This window comes from Homo sapiens, chromosome 1 (assembly GCF_000001405.40).
Source record: "Homo sapiens chromosome 1, GRCh38.p14 Primary Assembly".
NCBI classification, from domain to species: Eukaryota; Metazoa; Chordata; class Mammalia; order Primates; family Hominidae; genus Homo; species Homo sapiens.
Genome location: NC_000001.11, coordinates 176,586,867 through 176,605,598, shown reverse-complemented (window position 1 = coordinate 176,605,598; position 18,732 = coordinate 176,586,867). Strand labels below are relative to the sequence as shown.

The 18,732-nt window shown below is 39.7% G+C and overlaps 1 protein-coding gene across 7 annotated transcripts in view; it reads right to left on the bottom strand.

Moving 5' to 3' along the window:
• Nucleotides 1-18,732, bottom strand: part of PAPPA2 (pappalysin 2) — a 382,427-nt gene that overhangs the window by 240,003 nt on the left and 123,692 nt on the right. For all 7 annotated transcript variants that reach the window (XM_047427180.1, XM_017002024.2, XM_017002023.2 and 4 more), the window contains one exon: nt 10,004-11,075. In XM_047427180.1, coding sequence (XP_047283136.1) covers nt 10,004-11,075 — 1,072 coding nt within the window. The remainder of the gene's footprint in view (nt 1-10,003; nt 11,076-18,732) is intronic.

The window sequence follows — 18,732 nt, the reverse complement described above, 5'->3', positions numbered from 1 at the left end:
GAAGGGAAAAACTCAATGAGATAAATTAGGAGCCAGAGCAAGCTGAAGCAATGTTTTAAACTAAAGCTATAAGGGAGCAGAAACTATGAGTAATCTAGCAGATTGCTAACAGACATGAATGGTGAGAATGAACTAAGATTTAGAGAAATATGTACCCTTTGAGAGAGATGGAGTTCCTGAATGCCACAGTCTCTGCAACTCTCTAGCTCCACTTTCAGCCCATATGTAATTTTACAATAAATCCAGTTTCTGCAGTTAACATGAGCAGGTCTGTTCCCTACAATTGCAAAATCCTAACTAAAGTGCCTGATAAGGATCTTGCCTAATCTGTAACATCATGTCCAAGAGGTCTTGTATTCCTTTTTTGGAGTCTGGTCTTTTTCTCATTCACTGACTCGCTAGGTAAAGGGGATTCATGTTATTAATACTTCCTGGCTATTGTAGCTATTTTTATGCTCATCAAAATTTACCCCATGTTTCAGATTTTTAGAGCCTCCTGGGGACTCAGGTACTCAAATAACAAGTTAATGAAGAAAATGGCTTAAAGCCATTCCCTCCTTAGCTAACAGGTTCACACTTCCATGAGTATTGTCAGTTATTTTACTTACTAGATCTAAATGGGGCAACGCTACCATAGCAATGAGACCAGTAGAAAAGTTTACTATAGTGTAGTCTCTGAATACCCTTCTTTTTCCATACATAGTAGTATCCTCTGCCTGTAAATTTTTACTCTACTAAAACCCTTGCCCTACATTGTCATGTCATTGGTTTTCCATCTACATACAGATATATATTTATATGTATACACTAATTCATTTTTAAAATATCAAATGTGTTCCAAGAACTGTGAACAAAGAAACTAAAGTCTTGTGCAAGAGACAGACAAGAATGGGAAGTTACAGTATGGTATGATAAATATGTATTTAAGCAGGGGTTGGCAGTTTTTTTCATAAACGGCCAGATAGTAAATATTTTAGGCTTTGTGGGCCACATGGTCTTTGTTTTAACTGCACAACTCTGCCACATGAAAGCAGCCATAGACAATATGTAAACAAGTGAGTGTAACTGTATTCCAAAATAATTTTATTTACAAAAACACGTGATAGACCAGATGTGATCCATGGTCCATGGTTTGCCAACCACTGTACTAGAATAAGAACATTCCTTTTTTTAACAATTATTTATTGAATACTTAGTCTGTTCCTTTTGCTGTTGTAGGTGTTATAGTATGAGAGTCGCCCAAACGTATAAAAACCCCTTCCCTCGTAGAATTTACTTTCTAGTGGAGAAAATGAATATTAAGCAAAATAAACAAAATAGCATGTTTGTGATAAATTCTAAAAAGAAAAATAAAGCAGGGGAAGAAACCATAAAGAGCCAAGACAATGTGTACAATTTTACGTGAGGTCTCCAGGGAAGGCCTCACCTAGAAACTGACTTTGAAAAAAGACCAGAAGAAAGTGGGAAAGTTAGCTGTGTAGAAATCTGGAGGAAGAATATTCCAGAAAAGTGAAAAGCCACTGAAAAGATCATGCAGTAGGAGTACATCTGGCAAGTCAGAAGGCCAGTGTGGCTGGAGTGCAATAAGGAGCATGGTAAGAGGTGAGGCCACAGAAGTGACTGATGCTATATGACCCTATAGATCAGAGTCATGCTGTTGGCTTTGATTCTGAATAAGCTGGTAAGCTGCTGGAGAATTAGGGGGAGAGGAATGACTTGATCTGAGTTATACCCTAATAGGATTACTCTGATTGCTATGTTAAAAATAGACTCGGGGCAACAGTGCAAGGGCAAAAGTGGGAGACCAGTTAAAAGACTATTGCAATAATCCAGATGAGTGAAGATGGGGACCTGGATTAGGGTGGTGGCTATAGGGGGATGAGAAGTGATACAAATGAGGTAGCTAATTTGTATTTGAGGGCAACAGAATGCTTCCAAGAAGGAGGAATGTGCATCCTAGTTGAGACTTGAAGGATAAGTAGTAGTTATTTAAGTGTTTGTCTCTGGAAATCAGATCCACAACCATTGGACAGCGCTCTGGGTAAGAAGTGAGAGAAACCTTGGAGTTGAAATTAATAATAGATCAGGAGCTTCCTCCAGAGGCTGGTGCTCTGATGGAACCTCAGAAAAACCCCTGACGGCCACCCTAACTACATGTCCCGCCCACTACCCACTCTACAACTCTGACATCAAGGGAAAGAGGGCCTGGTTAGGGGAAGACCTACCAACAAGATTTCATTTATATCCAGTCACTGAAGTAATTACAAACCAGAGTCCAAGGCAAAGAAAAATGTGTAAGTGTGCAGCTGTCTTTCAAACTCTTAGGCTTAAATTCTAGGAAGGAACCTGTAAGTGAAATCATCTGAAACAGATTGGCATTTGGCCAAGGCCCCAGGGATAGCACCCCAACTCCTAGGAAAAAGCCGAAGTATTTTGAATAACTGAGTGTATTTGGAGACTGGGGTCTCTCTGGAAAAATTTCTAAAAGGAAATATTTTTAACCCAGACAGACTACATGGCTCACTCACAAGTCTGTCTATTTGGCTAGAAATAAACTATGAAAAGGAGAAAAACAGTCACCACTCCCCAGCCCCCCACTCACCTGAGGAGGAAAGTCCACAAGCCAGGTGAACAGAGAAACTGGGGATTTCATTTGCTCCATAATACGGTGCCTATTGGAACTGTGGAGAAACTGGCTTATAGGAAAATAAACAGGAGACATTTCTATTTGTAGGTAAACTTATTGTGCTTATCTATGGAACCTCCTCTTATTTCTTTCCTTCTATTCCCATTGCCAGTTGACGTGACCATGAGAAGGTGACACTTGCTCTAGAGTTCACACTGCCTGTGAATTTTGAAGTGAGGGAACTGGCAGTTTTTTTTTTGCTGTTTAGTTTTAAAATTTCTCCTCCACTTCTTTTCTTCCTGCCCTCTTCTACCCCTTACGCTTATTTTCCCTGCGTGTGTTTTTTTTGGCTTCAGGGAACTTTGAATCTCAACTTCAAAAGAAACCTATAATGAAGCCTGGCTGATGTTTAACAGACCAGCCACTGCAAGGGCCCAGCCTGACCATGCCTTTGGCTCAACAGCCTCCGAGTGTGGGTGAGCAAAGCACAGCTAATCCAAAGCATCCAGGTCTGTGCAGCATCAACTTCTTCACCTGTTCCCTTTGATGCCATGTGCCTCTACCTTCCTGTCCCAAGATACACCCTTTCTATTGTATACCTGCAGACTCCACTCTCTGCCATATCCCTCAGGACAATTCCCAGCCACCCTCTTGAGGACTTCTTTAGAGGGGAGTGTGCCATGGGCAAGCCTTGCTATGTATAAGAGTCCTCCGCCCTCGAACTCCCCAGTGAAACCTCAGGGAATGAGGCAAAGAAGAGACAATGAGTTGCCAACACATAGAGATGTTAGCCCATCACAGGCTTCAGAAATTAGCCCATCACAGGCTTCAGAAACAAATATAGAGAAAACAAATATGCAGTATCCCCATTTTCTGCTTCAGAGCATGGTCAGACACTAGATGATTGATGCCTTGTTCAACCATTTGTTTTTATTTGGAGACTTTTCTCCACATTATAGCAATATTATGAGATCTGAGATATAGAAACCAAAAAAGAGAGACAAGCAGAGTTCCAGATTTAATGAAATACTTGCTCAACTCTATTGCGAAAAGGAGAGAAAGCATGGGATGGAAAGTAGGTGCAGCAGCAAAGAACTGTAACTCTGAGACATAATTTTAGGGAGAAATGTGACAGAAACAATTAATAACCAAAAAGAAGCTGAAGCCTGCAAAGGTCAGGGAAGACAAGTTCCCCTGAGGGTACAGAAATTCCTTTGGGCTGAGCTCCCTAGTATGTACCACAGGGAATAGTCAATGACATTTGTGATTTTACTGAAGTGGACACTCAACACCCTTCCTTCCCTTAACTCTCGCAGATCATCTCTCAGGGCAGCTACTATGTAGAAACAGACATCTGGCTTATGTAGCCCTGCCTAGTTCCAAGTTCCTTTATCTTGGTAAGTCTGTTCAACTGGCTGGGTAATGTATCTGTAATTCATATCTCCTCCTGACCAGTCCAGAGCTTGATAAGTACTCTCCCTTTGATAGGCCCATCTGGGTTGCAGATGTTTGATGCTGGATGCGTCAGGCTCTCTCTCCTCTCAGAGCGTTTGGGAGAGGAACTACTTTGGGCTAGATTTCTGGTTTCTTGCTGGGGGTGGTAGGAATGCATCTTTGTTTGTTTTGTGCTGCCATAGCAGAATACATGAGAGTGGGTAATTTATGAAAAAAAGAGATTAATTTCCTGCAGTTCTGGAGGCTGTAAAGTCCAAGCTCGAGAGGCCTGCATCTAGTGAAGGTCCTCTTGCTTCATCATCACATTGCAGAAGACAGAAGTGCAAGAAAGCAGACATGACAGAGGGGTAGCAAACTCATCTTTTTATCAGAAACTCACTCCTGTGATAACAGCATTAATCCATTCACGAGGGCAGAGCTCTCATGACCTAAGTATCTCTTAACATTTTCACCTCTCAACACTGTTGCTTCAGGGATTAAATTTCTAACATATGAACTTTGGGAGACACATTGGAACCATAGCAGGAAATAAGAACTTTGGGAGACACATTGGAACCATAGCAGGAAGATTGAACAGGATTTGGGAAGTGAGGAGAGTTGTTCATACATCAACCCTTGCATTCGAATGTTAGTGATCTATTTGTAGGTCTGTCCCCCACTTTCTACTACTCTCCCTCAACAGTCGAAGGTGCTTCCACTGTGAGTGGAAAGACTCTGTGCCTGGAGCACTCCACTCAATAGATGACTCGCAAAGCATTTCTCAAAGTTGAGTCCCTTCAGAGTAACAGTATAATGGAATTGTGAGCTTGAGCTCTGTGATTTTTTTTTTTTTTTTTTTTTTTGAGACGGAGTCTCGCTCTGTCGCCCAGGCTGGAGTGCAGTGGCGCGATCTCGGCTCACTGCAAGCTCCGCCTCCCGGGTTCACGCCATTCTCCTGCCTCAGCCTCCCGAGTAGCTGGGACTACAGGCGCCCGCTACCACGCCCGGCTAATTTTTTGTATTTTTAGTAGAGACGGGGTTTCACCGTGTTAGCCAGGATGGTCTCGATCTCCTGACCTCGTGATCCGCCCGCCTCGGCCTCCCAAAGTGCTGGGATTACAGGCGTGAGCCACCGCGCCCGGCCGAGCTCTGTGATTTAATTGTAATAATAGGGAGGCTCTACAAAGCTAATCTAGTTCAGAGACTAACTCCACCAAGTCACAGGACCTCATGGAAACCCAAAGATCTATATCTCTATGAATCAAAAGTCCTTTCAGGCAATCTAAACCATGACAAAGAAAAGCCACATCCCATGTTCTGCTTTTAATGCCTCAGCCTGGATTTAAACCCAGAGAATTCAGATAAAATTACTGAACTTCTCCTCCAAATCGTTAGCCCTTATCCTTTCCATAGTCTTTACGTGTGTCCCTCTGCTTACCTTACCATGCCTGACACATCATAGAAGCTTGATAAATAATGATTTTTCAAAATATTGCTTTTGCCAAGAGTCATAAAAAATTAATATTTTTAATAATAAAGATTCAACACAAAAAATAGGATAGGGAAGGCAGAAAAGACCTACACACAAAATAAGTATAAGAGAGCTGAGAAGAAAGAAAACCTCTCTCCTCCTCTATGTTTCTGCCTTCAAATTTCTTTTTTCAAAAGAGAAAATTCATAGATAATTATTCTTTCTTAGATCGTCATAGGTAGAGATTTAAAAGTGTGGTTTCTACTGTGAATAAGCATTAGACATTTAAGGAAAGTCACCAGCATAAATGATAGTCATGAATTTAAAATATAATAAAAAAAGAAAAGTTGACTTCAGATGCATCGGATATAACACACAAAAAAACAATTCCAAATGAATCACATTTTTATCTTTGAAAATGCTTATCTTAAAATTTTTTAAGATTATATTAAAAATAATCAAAGAATAAGAAGGTTTTTAAAGTATGATTGCTAAAATATAAAAGTAAATAAAAGCATTGAAAGATAGACTCAAAGAAATCTCAAAAAAAAAAAAAAAAGTAGAACAAACTAACAAAGAGAACGTAGGAGAGAAAAGAGAAAAAGAGTAAGTTCAGTAGATTCATCCCCAGGAGTATCAGGGGTAACAAAGAGAACAGAGAAAACTGAATGAAGAAATATCAAAGTAACAGTTTAAGAGATTTTTCCAGAGACCAGGGGCATAAGTGTCCAAATTGAACAGTGTTCAACAAAAGAACAATAAAAGGCAATCCCTAAAAAATAATCTTACAAATCCCTAGTGTAACAAGGCTAAGGATAAGATGCTAAAAGAATATGCAAATATATTTGTGTGTGTGTGTGTGTGTATATATATATATGTACATACATACATACATATATGGGTGTATATATATATACACACACACACACCTATAAAAATACACACAATTATCAGAACAGAAGCTAGAAGTAATTAATGAATTTCTTCATAAGTTTGAGATAAACTGTTTTTCAATCCAAAATTTTATACCAAGTCAAACTATCAATTTTGTAGGAAGGCAGAATAAAATCATTCTGAGAAGTGCATTTTCAAAAAAGATTACCTGAAACATCTTTTCTTAGAAATTTGCTTGAGGATGTTTTCCAGTAAAATAAGGTAGTAAATTAAGAGATATTCATGTAATTCAGGACACAGTAGCTCTAACCCCCCCAAAAAAACGCATTGAAGAGAAGTCCCAGGATGACAACTGTGCAGCAGACCTAAAGACAACTGGCCAAGACTGGAAGAAAAGAATAGAATTAACTAGAAGAGAGAGCTCTATAGGAGTGTAAAAAACATTTTTTTAAGGGTGAAGAAGAAGAGTTTTATTTAGTGTTAGAACAGCTCAGAGGAGGGGAACATTTTCATAAATATATTCTACAAATTAGTGGGTAAAATAAAGCATTTGAAAACAATCAAGAATATCAAGAAAGAATAAAAGAAGAAAGGAAGGAAAAATAGAGACTCAAGGGGTGGGGCTGGAAATGGGAAGAAGCTGTGCAAGGAAAGAAATATAATAATAGAATAGTACTTTGTTCTGCAACAATTAACATTTCACAGTCATAATACTATAATACATACAATTGATTCAACAAAAAATAGTAATTATATGGAAGGATGCAAGGGCAAGGAAGGAGATAATGTAAGAGAGTTAGTCTTGTCTGTATCATCAGAAATCAATGGATAATGTTTAAAATTGATGAACCAAGCAATATAAATATAATATTTGGAGGTGTACAGGAAACTACCAGAAAAAAAAACAGGTGAAAAAAATAAATATAGTAACCTGTGCAGAGCAAGGACAGAGTGTGGAGAAGGATGGGGAAGAGTTAGGCAGGACACTGTTTTTCTTCCTTCTGTCTTTTGGTATAATTTGATATTTTAAACCATGAGCACTTTTTTACTTTGAGTTAGTATTTTTAACTATCAAAAAGTATAAATATTTCCTTTGTATTCCACAAAGCAGGTTTTATATGTGGGGGGTAAAAGAGTCACTTATGAATAAAGGTTCAAAACACTACTGGGTCTATAAATAGGAGTGAGTTCCCCTTCTGCAGGCAGTGAGGTGAGTAAGTTATAAACACCCAGATAAGGGCAGTGTGATAGGAACTCAGAGAAATAAAGGGAAACTCTGAGGAGAATAATACCTGGATACCTTGAAAGACAGCTCTCTCAGACAGGGCAGTGGGTTATTACTATAAACTAGGAGACCAGACTTTCTCATTTATCTGGGGGATCCTAAGTGTTGCTAACCACTGCTGTTAGTGAGGTTTAGCTTCTGCTTAAGGTTACCAAAATCTAAAAACCAAATCCAAACACAATTTTCTTTTCTTCTTTTTTTTTAAATTATACTTTAAGTTCTGGGATACATGTGCAGAACGTGCAGGTTTGTTACATAGGTACACACGTGCCATGGTGGTTTGCTGCGCCCATCGACCCATCATCTACATTAGGTGTTTCTCCTAATGCTATCCTTCCCCTAGCCCCCCAGCCCATGACAGACCCCGGTATGTGATGTTCCCCTCCCTGTGTCCATGTGTTCTCATTGTTCCAAACAGAATTTTCTTATACAAGTAGTTCTGATAATTTGATTAGCTCTCTTTGCATTATTATGTAAATAAAAGCTTGCTATCTGTCAGCCTTAATAATAAGAACTAATCTTATTTTACAACAATTTGTGTGCTTTGAAAACTTTAGAGCTACTTTCCTATACTTTATTTCATTTGATTCACAAAATAATCTGAAAATACTGATAATGCAAGGTATTACTGCAATCATCCCTAGTTTACAGACAAGACTTCTGAGTTTCCGAACGTGACTTGCGTAACTTGCAAACCTAGTTAAGTAGCAAGGACTCCAAAATTTAACCATGTCCCTTGATTCCAAATTGTATTCTCGATTTTTGATACCACATGCTTGAAGTACAGGCCACTCTATTAGTGTTAACTCATATCAAGAGGACTCCCCACACACAGGGATACCATGAACTACTTGTACAAATGGTGTCCAATACAAAAGTAGCCATCAAGACATTGGGTGGAAGCTGAGATCCTGTTCTGCCACCTCCCACCAGCCCTGTACCCTAGGTCAGGTAAGCCTTTTCATAATTTGAACAAAGGCACCAGTTGTGTACTGGGGATACCTTGTCCACATACACATATTAACAAGTTCACTAGCTACCTACCTACTTTCTTACCCTCCTCTATTATGTCCAACCCCTGCAACAGCCGTCAAATGAGAATCTTCTTAAGGCTTCTGTCTCAGAACAAGAGACACACCAGATCCATTTATTCATCAACTTAAACAACTAAATGTCAGCTGCTATTCTAGGCCTTGGGAATATAGTGGTTAACAGAATAGACAAGGGCCCCTATCTCATGTAGCTGATATTCCAAATAGGGGAAAAACAGACAAACACATGAACGTGAAAGACAAATTATCTGAAGTACTAAGTGTTAAACAGGAAATTTAAATTAGTTGATGTAACAGTAATTGATAGATTTAATTTGAGGGATTAGGAAAGGCCTCCCAGGTGGTAACATCTAAGTAGGTATTTGAATGACAAGAGAGAGCCCACCATGGGAATATTAAGGAAAGGAGGATTCCAAGAAGATGGAACAGCACATAAAAGCCCTGAGGGCAGAAAAAAGCTTGATCTGTTCAATGGAACAGAATCAAGTCAGCGAGGCTGTGCTATATAGGTGGTGATGGAGAGGTAGACAGAGGCCAGATTGCATTAAGAGGCTGTGTATCAGGTAGGGGGTTCAGATTTTATTCTGAGTGCAGTGGAGGAAAAAATCTTAAGACGAGAAATGACAGGATCCAACTTACCTTTTTAAAAAGATCCTTCTGGATGCTGCACAAAGAATGGAATTTAATGGGGCAACAGTGAAAGATCCCAGTCACCTAAAGGAGACTAGTGGCGAGATGTAACACGAAACTTTACGAAACTGCTGAACTGCTTAGACTAAATAGACCTAACACATTTTCACAGATCTGTATTACTTTGCCAAGATGCTAAGACTATAGGAAGTATTGTCACGTGTAATTAGTATTGACTGGTGTCTAGGCCTGGATGCCTTGTTTGTTCTCCATGAAGATTTCCTGGCCTCCTCTGGTAGAGTAAGTTGTTCAGCTTTCCTGTGTCCCAAGTACCTGGTGCATATGCTTTTGGGTGCGCTTCACACTGTGTACACAGCTTTCTGCCCCACAAACAGTGAGTTCTGTGAGGACTGTCTCTTTTCTCAGTCATCTGTGCCCCTAATTACCTAACAGAACACCTAGCACTTCACAAAAGCTTAATACTGTCTGATGGGGTGGATTAATGTCTTATTCAGGGAGTGTGTGAACACATTTGCCTCCAAAACCAAACAGATAAAATGATGTTAGAAATGCATCCTACAAGTAGGACACCCCAAATCCCAGTCCCTTACCTCTTGGGTGAGTCAGGGTCAAAGCAGGTCTTGCGCACATCAGCCACCTGGGGGTCGCAGCAGTCTCCGTCGTCAAAGTCGTTCAGCATGTTGTTACACTCCACGTGACAGAGCCCATCCCTGCGGTTCCAGGAGTAGCAGCGGCCCTGCAGGCGGCAGTCACCCCCATCATAGCCTGTGAGTGGGTGCTCACACTCGGGGTCACAATGGTCATTGCCAATCTTGCTGGGCTCACAGTTCACAAGCACAACCCGGTGTCGCAGGGTGGAATTGTGGACCTGGTGGACGCTCAGCTGCCAGCTGATGTTGTAGCGGCTGAAGGCCTCATTCAGTGCCTCGTGCTGCAGACGAATCTGCTCCTCACTCACAATGGGGTTTAGGCCCTCATCATCACAGATGTTCACCACCTGGTAGCGTATCACCTTCTCTCCCCGAAGGGGCCAGTATCCATTGTACTGGGAGATCAATTCCACATTGTCACAGACTGTTTGCCCACAGAGTGGGGGCTGCAAAGGCGACAGAATCTCAGGCTCTGGCTCAAAGCCCTGGAGAACCTCAAGTCGTGGGTACTTCTCATCTCTAAAGGGAACCCACTCTGTGTTCACAGGCTCAAAGCTCGCTGTCAGGACCAAGTCAGTCGCTTCCTCCTCCCCACTTGAATGCTGAGAACTGTGCTGAAAATGGCTTTGTGGCAGGGCGGTCGACCAGAAAACCAGTGTGCCCAGGTGTCCACGGAAATAGTGCCCATCCTCAGAGCTGTCTCCCCCCAGGAGCAAAGAGCGGCAAGATGCCATGAAGGGGCTGTTCAGGGGACCAGACTGGTCTAGACTGCTAGCCACCTGAGTGCCATCCACATACAGGGCCATGTGCCGTCCATCGTAAGTGGCTGCCACATGGGTCCATGTGCCTGGTTGGTAGCGACTGTGGCTAATCAAGATGGTGGCTTTCTTCACGCGGTCGGTGCAGAGGGAGAAGAAGAAGCGAGCATCCCGCTTTCCCTTGTCCTTCCCTGAGCGGATCCCCAGGGCCCAGCCTTTGTCACTGACAGTGTGGGAGCAGTTATCAAACACACCTGGGAAAGAAGGAAGAATCGAGGGAAGAGACAGATACCAGATACAAAGGGGAATGGAGAAAGGGAGAAGAAAGCCCATGTAAATAACAAGAATGCAGGTTTTTAATGGGGAATAAAGTAAGCGACACAGATTTCTCACCTGAGATGCCTGCTCATATCCCTATATCAGGCCGTTCTGGCATATCCTATCCCCAAAAGGAATGATTTGAGATTCCACCCAAGTTAACTCATTCTGGTATGTTTACATAACTAAAATGGAAGCTGGAAAGCAGATGTTCAATGCAAATGGCAAGAATCCTCTAGCACTCCATCACGAATGTGCTTCATGCTCATGACTGGCTTTAAGTCCATGCCTTTCCTCACTGATCCTAGCTTTTTCCATTTCCTCAGAAGCCATGAGAGTAGTCATACTTTTTGCAAATGACAGCCATCTCTTACCCTCTGGAAGGTGATTTTTCTCTACTGAACATTAAAAGGATGACACTCATGGGGAAAACAAGGAGTTGATTAATTAGGGAGTCTTTTTAGAGAAGATGGTAACATCCCAGACATCATTCCTAGCACACTATTCCCTCTAATACCTCTCATGGCTAAGGATAGCCATTCACAATGAATAACTGTTCTCCAGAGAAAGCAATATGGCACTGCCCCATGGTCCTAGCCTAAAAAACTAACCACTGGGTTAGTAGAATGACTGTTCTATACCCAATACCACCCACCGCAGTACGGAAGCAGACTGTTTCCAGATTAGTAAAGGTCTTATCATACACTACCTGCCTTGCTCAGGGCAGGCCCAGGGCATTTACAGGCATTTACAGGCTATTAAATCTAGTGGAATAAACAAAGGATAGAACACCCATAAACAGCTAGATCATTAATAAGTTGGCAGCAGGAATGGACACAAACTTTCAGATGTGGCATGATCACAGATGGGACTCAGGCAGTTTGGAAGCCTTAAATGTTCCTAGTAACCCATCTTCAGTTTACCCACCATCTCCTCCTCAGTACCTCTTCTAGTACATAGTCTCTCAGGAATAGCTTTTACTAATAAGTCACATGAAGTCAGTACATCACATAGGAAATGCTTAATAAATATTGCTTGCACTGATTAATAAATGATGGAAAAATATACTAGTCTTTGGATCAGATACCTGGGTAAACATCAAGAGTCATTCTCCCCAAGCTTGTTAAATAAGACTTTTATTTGTTCCCTGACCTCCTATACAATCCAGTCCAACAATAATTCTCCTTAGACAGTCTAGATTTATAAGCCATGAGGCTTCCTATTCTGACGGCAGGCAAGTGCTTTACAAGTGGCTATATTTCCAAAAGTGACAGAATATCTTTTCTGTCTTCAGCACAAATTAATAACTCATGGTTTATAAAATAAAAGTACTTTTTAGCAAAAATATTTCCTCCCTAACCCAGTAATTCTAACAACTATACTTTGAATTACTAGTGATGACTAGCTACAGTACAATGGGGTGTTCTGATTTTGGTTTTGGGGTTTTAGTTGTTGTTATTGTTTTCACACTGGGGTCTATCTGTTAAAGAAGTGTAAGGAATACTCCTCTACAAACTTTTGTATTGAGAGGATTTTCAAAAAAGCAAACAAATCTAGTGAGATTAATACTAAGTTCCCTGATTCATATTTTCTCCTGGTCCACTTATTTTAATAAGCAGTAAGTAGCTTTAATTATCTGTCTGACCTATGAGCACATGGGCTGCAATATTGAATATCAGGACCGTGGAGTTACTAATCTATCAGCTATTTGCTGATCTTTAAGAGAAAGTACTGGGGAGGTTACTTTATATTTGATGCATACACACAGGTAGATGTATGCGTTCAGATATAAATTGTTAGGCTTGACATATAAGTTACCAGATAATTAGCATGATTATCTGCCAGACATCTACTTGCAATTTAAACACTTTAATTTGCTGTCCCTAGAACTTCTAGTCTATTATCAAAAATATAATTGTTCTTATTTGTCTCATAGAAAGGTATAAAGTTATTAATAATGTATCTGAAATGATATTTCTAACTTCTTGAAATACTAAATAGAAGATGGACCACTCTGATTATACCAGTCTAGTTCTGATTAGTGTAAGTTTTAGAAATTACATCAAAAAAGATTTATAGCCAAGACCACTAAGATCATCTATATTACTTGTGAGATGTAGCCAGTATGTAGAAGTATTATTTTGAATGATTATCAAAGTAATGATTATTTGCTCTCTAATTTATTAAGATGTCCAAGCAGCAAATGAAGAACCTCACTAGGTGCTTAGATAACTACATTTTACTTGCTTTGTTACCATTGTTCATACTTCATCTGTAGGAAAATAGAGTACATAGTTGCTGAAGCACTATCCTGCACTCCTTCCAGTTAAAAAGGCATACTTAGCAAATAGAATTCTCTAACTCAATGCCAGCAACTCTAGTTGTGGATCAGAGTCACATGTGAAGCTTTCACAAATACAGACTATTTTGAAGCCATATTGAGAGCTTATACCATATTACAAAAGAAATCAAATTCCTCACTGAGCTTAGTAGAACGAAATGCAGAAGACAGAAGTTGAGAGCCTTAGCATTTTTCATCCAGTGAAGGAAAGTTAGCAAGATTGATATCAATGGTAAGTTAAATCAGACATGAAAATGTAAAAATCATCTGAAATTCTTTTAAATCATTTGTTTAAAAATTATACTAGATCACGCATCTTAGATTTGTCCAAGGTGCCTATGCAACAGTGATACATACTTGTTCATTAATTCAGCAAACTAACGGAATGAGAAGTAGTTAGGATAAACGAGGACCTGTTATGAATAAGTGCACAGAAACAGACTAAGTTAGCTCACCCATGCAAGTGCAAGTTTGGTAGATATTTACAAAGCAATACTATCTGCTAATCTCAGTACTTGGTGCTGGAGATTCTATAGTGATCAAATAATTATATGATATCATGGAGAGTTCAATATAGTGCAGAAAATAAACCTGAAATTAATAACAATGGAATACGCTTACTATTGAAAGCATAAATAGCTCTGGGAGCAGCAAAAGGACCTCTTTATTAAAACATGGTCATAACATAGCAGAAATTCTCCCTAAAGTCATTAAATGTCAACTTCCCAACACTGACCTGTCTTGTTAACAATTTGATTCCTAGAAGGCATCCACCATCCAAATCTGCCCATGAGATTAGGGCTACCTTGATCACCAGTCAGACTGTCTGGGAAGGCTAGAGAGTGCCAAAGCCAAAGAATTCCAAGAGATAAGATCAGATATTGCCAAGCCGAACATCCTGCCAGTTTACCCAGTAATATTCATTATAAGAGTCCTCAGAACCTGCCTTTATATAAATTACTCACTTCAGCCAAATCTTCTACACTGGAATTTTGTGTGTGTGTGTGTGTGTGTGTGTGTGTGTGTGTGTGTGCATGTGTGTGACTATATTTACTTTTACTTAGCCTGTAATGTTATCTCCCATTTATATAGTCCTTAAGCTTTCCAAATAAATCTTTTGTATACTATTATTTAAGTGGTAAAACCATCCTCTGAGCCAGGTGGAGTTATTATCATTGGCCTTATTTTATAGATGCAGACACTGAGGTTCTGAGAGATTAGGTGTCAGACTGGGTGCAGAGAGTGCACTAGAACCAAGATATCATTATTTTGAGCCCAGAACAGTTTTCTACAAAACCTATGCTGGGAAAGACCATAGTGCATGTGGTTAAAAGCATGAGTCAGCCAGAAATTACATTCTACAATCTACCACTTACATGCTGTATCATCTCAAAAAAAAGTTATATCACCTTATTGAGCTCTGGTTTCCTTATTTGAAAGTGTTACCTGAGAAATAAAATCTGTGCATCTTCAACCACAAGCTGAGACTTAAACCTCATGAGGTTGTTGTGAGAATTAAATAAAATAACACATGTGAAGTATCTTAGCACAGTGTTCAGCTCAAATAAAGTGATTAATAAACATTAGCTGTGATGAGGAGAAGGAGTTTCATGATGTGTTATCAAAGGAAATAACAAGTTAGATATAAAACCAGTGGTATGCTAGTAAATATTTAACAACTGGTCCTCTGAAGATAAAAAAAAAATCCAAGTCCTGATTTGCAACATTTGCCAATTTCTGTGATATAAATTACTCCCACAATGGTCAATATTAAGTTACCAGTATGATGTCACTGAACATGGGTTTGGGAAGAGATGGGTACAATTGGCTCTGATGAACCAGTTTGAGTCGATTCCATTACTGTAAAGACTAAAAAGGAAAGCAATTGCAAGCTGCCAAGTGTCTCCTTTTCCCTTTGACTACTAAAGTTAAATGTGGCTGCTTTGCTGATAATATCATTTTGTGTAATTTAAAAGGGGGTAAATATTGCCTATACTCTGAGTTTTCAGCCATAACATGTCTACTGGAGGACCCAGTGACCAACTGTACCTGTGAACAAAATGTGTCCATCCCAGGTCTGCTCTTCTTCATTCTCTAGCTACAAATTGGAGTCATAGAGTAGCCTGCACAGGTCCCCACATGCTCCCAGGAGGGACCCTCAGCCCTACTTTCTTGACCTCATTAAGCAAAAGCAAGATGAAGTTTGTTTCAAAGGAAAAATTACAGAATCTCACATTTAGGAGACTTTTTCTTCCCAGTCTAGCAGAGTAAAGACTGACAAAACCAATGAAGTCCAAGCCAATACAATATACTTGGTGAAACTCTTGAGTTTGTGCAACATTGAGATTTTATAATTTTGGATGTACATGAGATAGAAACAAACATGTTATAACTGTTGTTTATTCATCAAAGCCACATTCTTGGAAAGAACAGAGGGACCAGTACATGAATATGATTTATGAAATTATTCAACACTAAACTGAACTATGATAGCCCATGGATTAGAAAAATCAGATCAAATGTTGTAACTCAAAAGATGGTGGTAGTGTGGAAGCCAAACATTTGGACCACATCATCTTAAAACTGTAAAAATCATTTTCTCAAATGGCTTCCATCATATATATTTACTAAATTTAAAACTGTTTAAGCACCTTACCTTGTACTTAATCTGAGTTTTGAGACAAGGTAAATTGAGGGAGGATATTTCATTAATTGTATTCCTGCTCTCAACTCCAAAAATTGTACTTAGAGACCATGTGTATCTTAACAGAGCAATATGCTCACGTGGGTCTTAGCAAACATCATTTGCATCCAGTTCTCTACTATCATTAATTACCAGCACTTGGAATTGATAGAGTCAATTATCCTCAAGGAGAAAGGTTTTCTCTCAAACTGGAATATAGTCCTCCAAAGAGACTCTGAAAAATTCTAATAAAGCAGTGAACACTATAGATAGAGTTACAAACAGCTGTTTCATGAAAAAAAAAAGTTTTGAATGTGGCCTCTGTAAAGTAGTAATCCTGCTTCTTTCCATTACTTGAGTTTTTTCTTGATGCTCAGGATATCTGCTGCTTATGCCAAAAAGAGATAAAGAGACTTGAATTATCTTTTATAATTTGTCTACTATGTGCGACTCTATCCCTGGTGAACATGCCCCTACGCACAACAAAGTCCTGAAAAACAGCTTGGCAGACCACCTTGGGCAGACACATCTTCAGACTGACCAAATGACTGTGTGCCTGTTCTTGAGGCCTGAAAAACAGCCCAGTGGGCTTGCCCCTCAAGGACACACCCCCAGGGCAGCCAAGCAGCTGTATGCCCACACCCCTGGCTAGAGTAACAGGCTCATAGCCCCAACCTCAGTGAGCCAGACCCCCAGCTAGCTGACTTACCATGGACATTATGTGCACTCACATCCCTCCCTCCACCTAAGAAATAGCCCAGCAAGCACACATCCAGCAAAGTTGTGCCACTGCTGCCACAAACTCTTGCAGCCTAGGCCACTGAGATACAAAAATCACTAGCACGAATTACAGCTGAAGAAACTGACTAGAGACTACTGTGTCCATGTGGAATTAAAGCCAACACATCCTACCCAACTGACACCCTAAGACCCATCTATAGAAATAAGTCTTTTTCCAGTGATGCCCTCTCTCACTTCTCCTATCTGACATAGTATTGGAAGTTCTGGCTAGGGCAATCAGGCAAGAGATAGAAATAAAGGGTATTCAAAGAGGAAGACAGGAAGTCAAGTTGTCTTTGTTTGCAGATGACATGATTTTACATTTAGAAAACTCCATCATCTCAGCACAAAAACTTCTTGAACTGATAAGCAACTTCAGCAAAGTCTCAGGATACAAAATCAATGTGAAAAATCACAAGCATTCCTTTACACCAACAACAGACAAGTGGAGAGCCAAATCATGAATGAACTCCCATTCACAATCACTACAAAGAGAATAAAATACTTAGGAATACAGCCAACAAGTGATATGAAGGATCTCTTCAAGAAGAACTACAAACCACTGCTCAAGGATATAAGAGAGGACACAAACAAATGGAAAAACATTCCATCCTCATGGATAGGAAGAATCAATATTGTGAAAATGGCCATACGGCCCAAAGTAATGTATAGATTCAATGCTACTCCCATCAAATTACTGTTGACATTCTTCACAGAATTAGAAAAAAAACTATTTTAAATTTCTTTTTTTAAAGTTTATTATTATACTTTAATTTCTAGGGTACATGTGCACAACGTGCAGGTTTATTACATAGGTATACGTGTGCCATGTTGGTTTGCTGCTCTCATCAACTATTTTAAATTTCATATGGAATCAAAGAAGACCCTGTATAGCCAAGACAATCCTAAGCAAAAAGAACAAAGCTGGAGGCATCACGCTACCTGACTTCAAACTATAGTACAAGTCTACAGTAACCAACACAGCATGGTCCTATTACCAAAACAGACATAAAGACCAATGGAGTAGAACAGAGACCTCAGAAATCACACCACACATCTACAACCATCTGATCAACAAACCTGTCAAAAACAGGGAATGGGGAAAGGATCTTCTATTCAGTAAATGGTGCTGGGAAAACTGGCAAGCCATAGTCAGAAAACTGAAACTGAACCCCTTCCTTACAACTTACACAAAAATTAACTCAAGATGGATTAAAGACTTAAATGTAAAACCCCAAACCATAAAAACTCTAGAAGAAAACCTAGGCATTACCATTCAGAACATAGGCATGGGCAAAGACTTCATGACAAAAATGGCAAAAACAATTGCAACAAAAACCAGAATCAACAAATGGGATCTAATTAAACTAAAGAGCTTCTGCACAGCAAAAGAAACTATCATCAGAGTGAGCAGCCAACCTAAAAAATGGTTGAAAATTTTTGCAGTCTATCCATCTGACAAAGGTCTAATATCCAGAATTTATGAGGAGCTTAAGCATATTTACAAGAAAAAAAAAACAAACAACCCATCAAAAAGTGGGCCAAGGGTATGAACAAACACTTCTCAAAAGAAGACATTTAAGTGGCCAACAAACATATGAAAAAAAGCTCAACATCACTGATCATTAGAGAAATCAAAACCACAATGAGACACCATCTCCTGCCAGTTAGAATGGTGATTATTAAAAAATCAGGAAACAATACATGCTGGCGAGGATGTGGAGAAATAGGAAAGCTTTTACACTGTTGGTGGGAATGTAAATTAATTCATCCTGTGTGGAAGACAGTA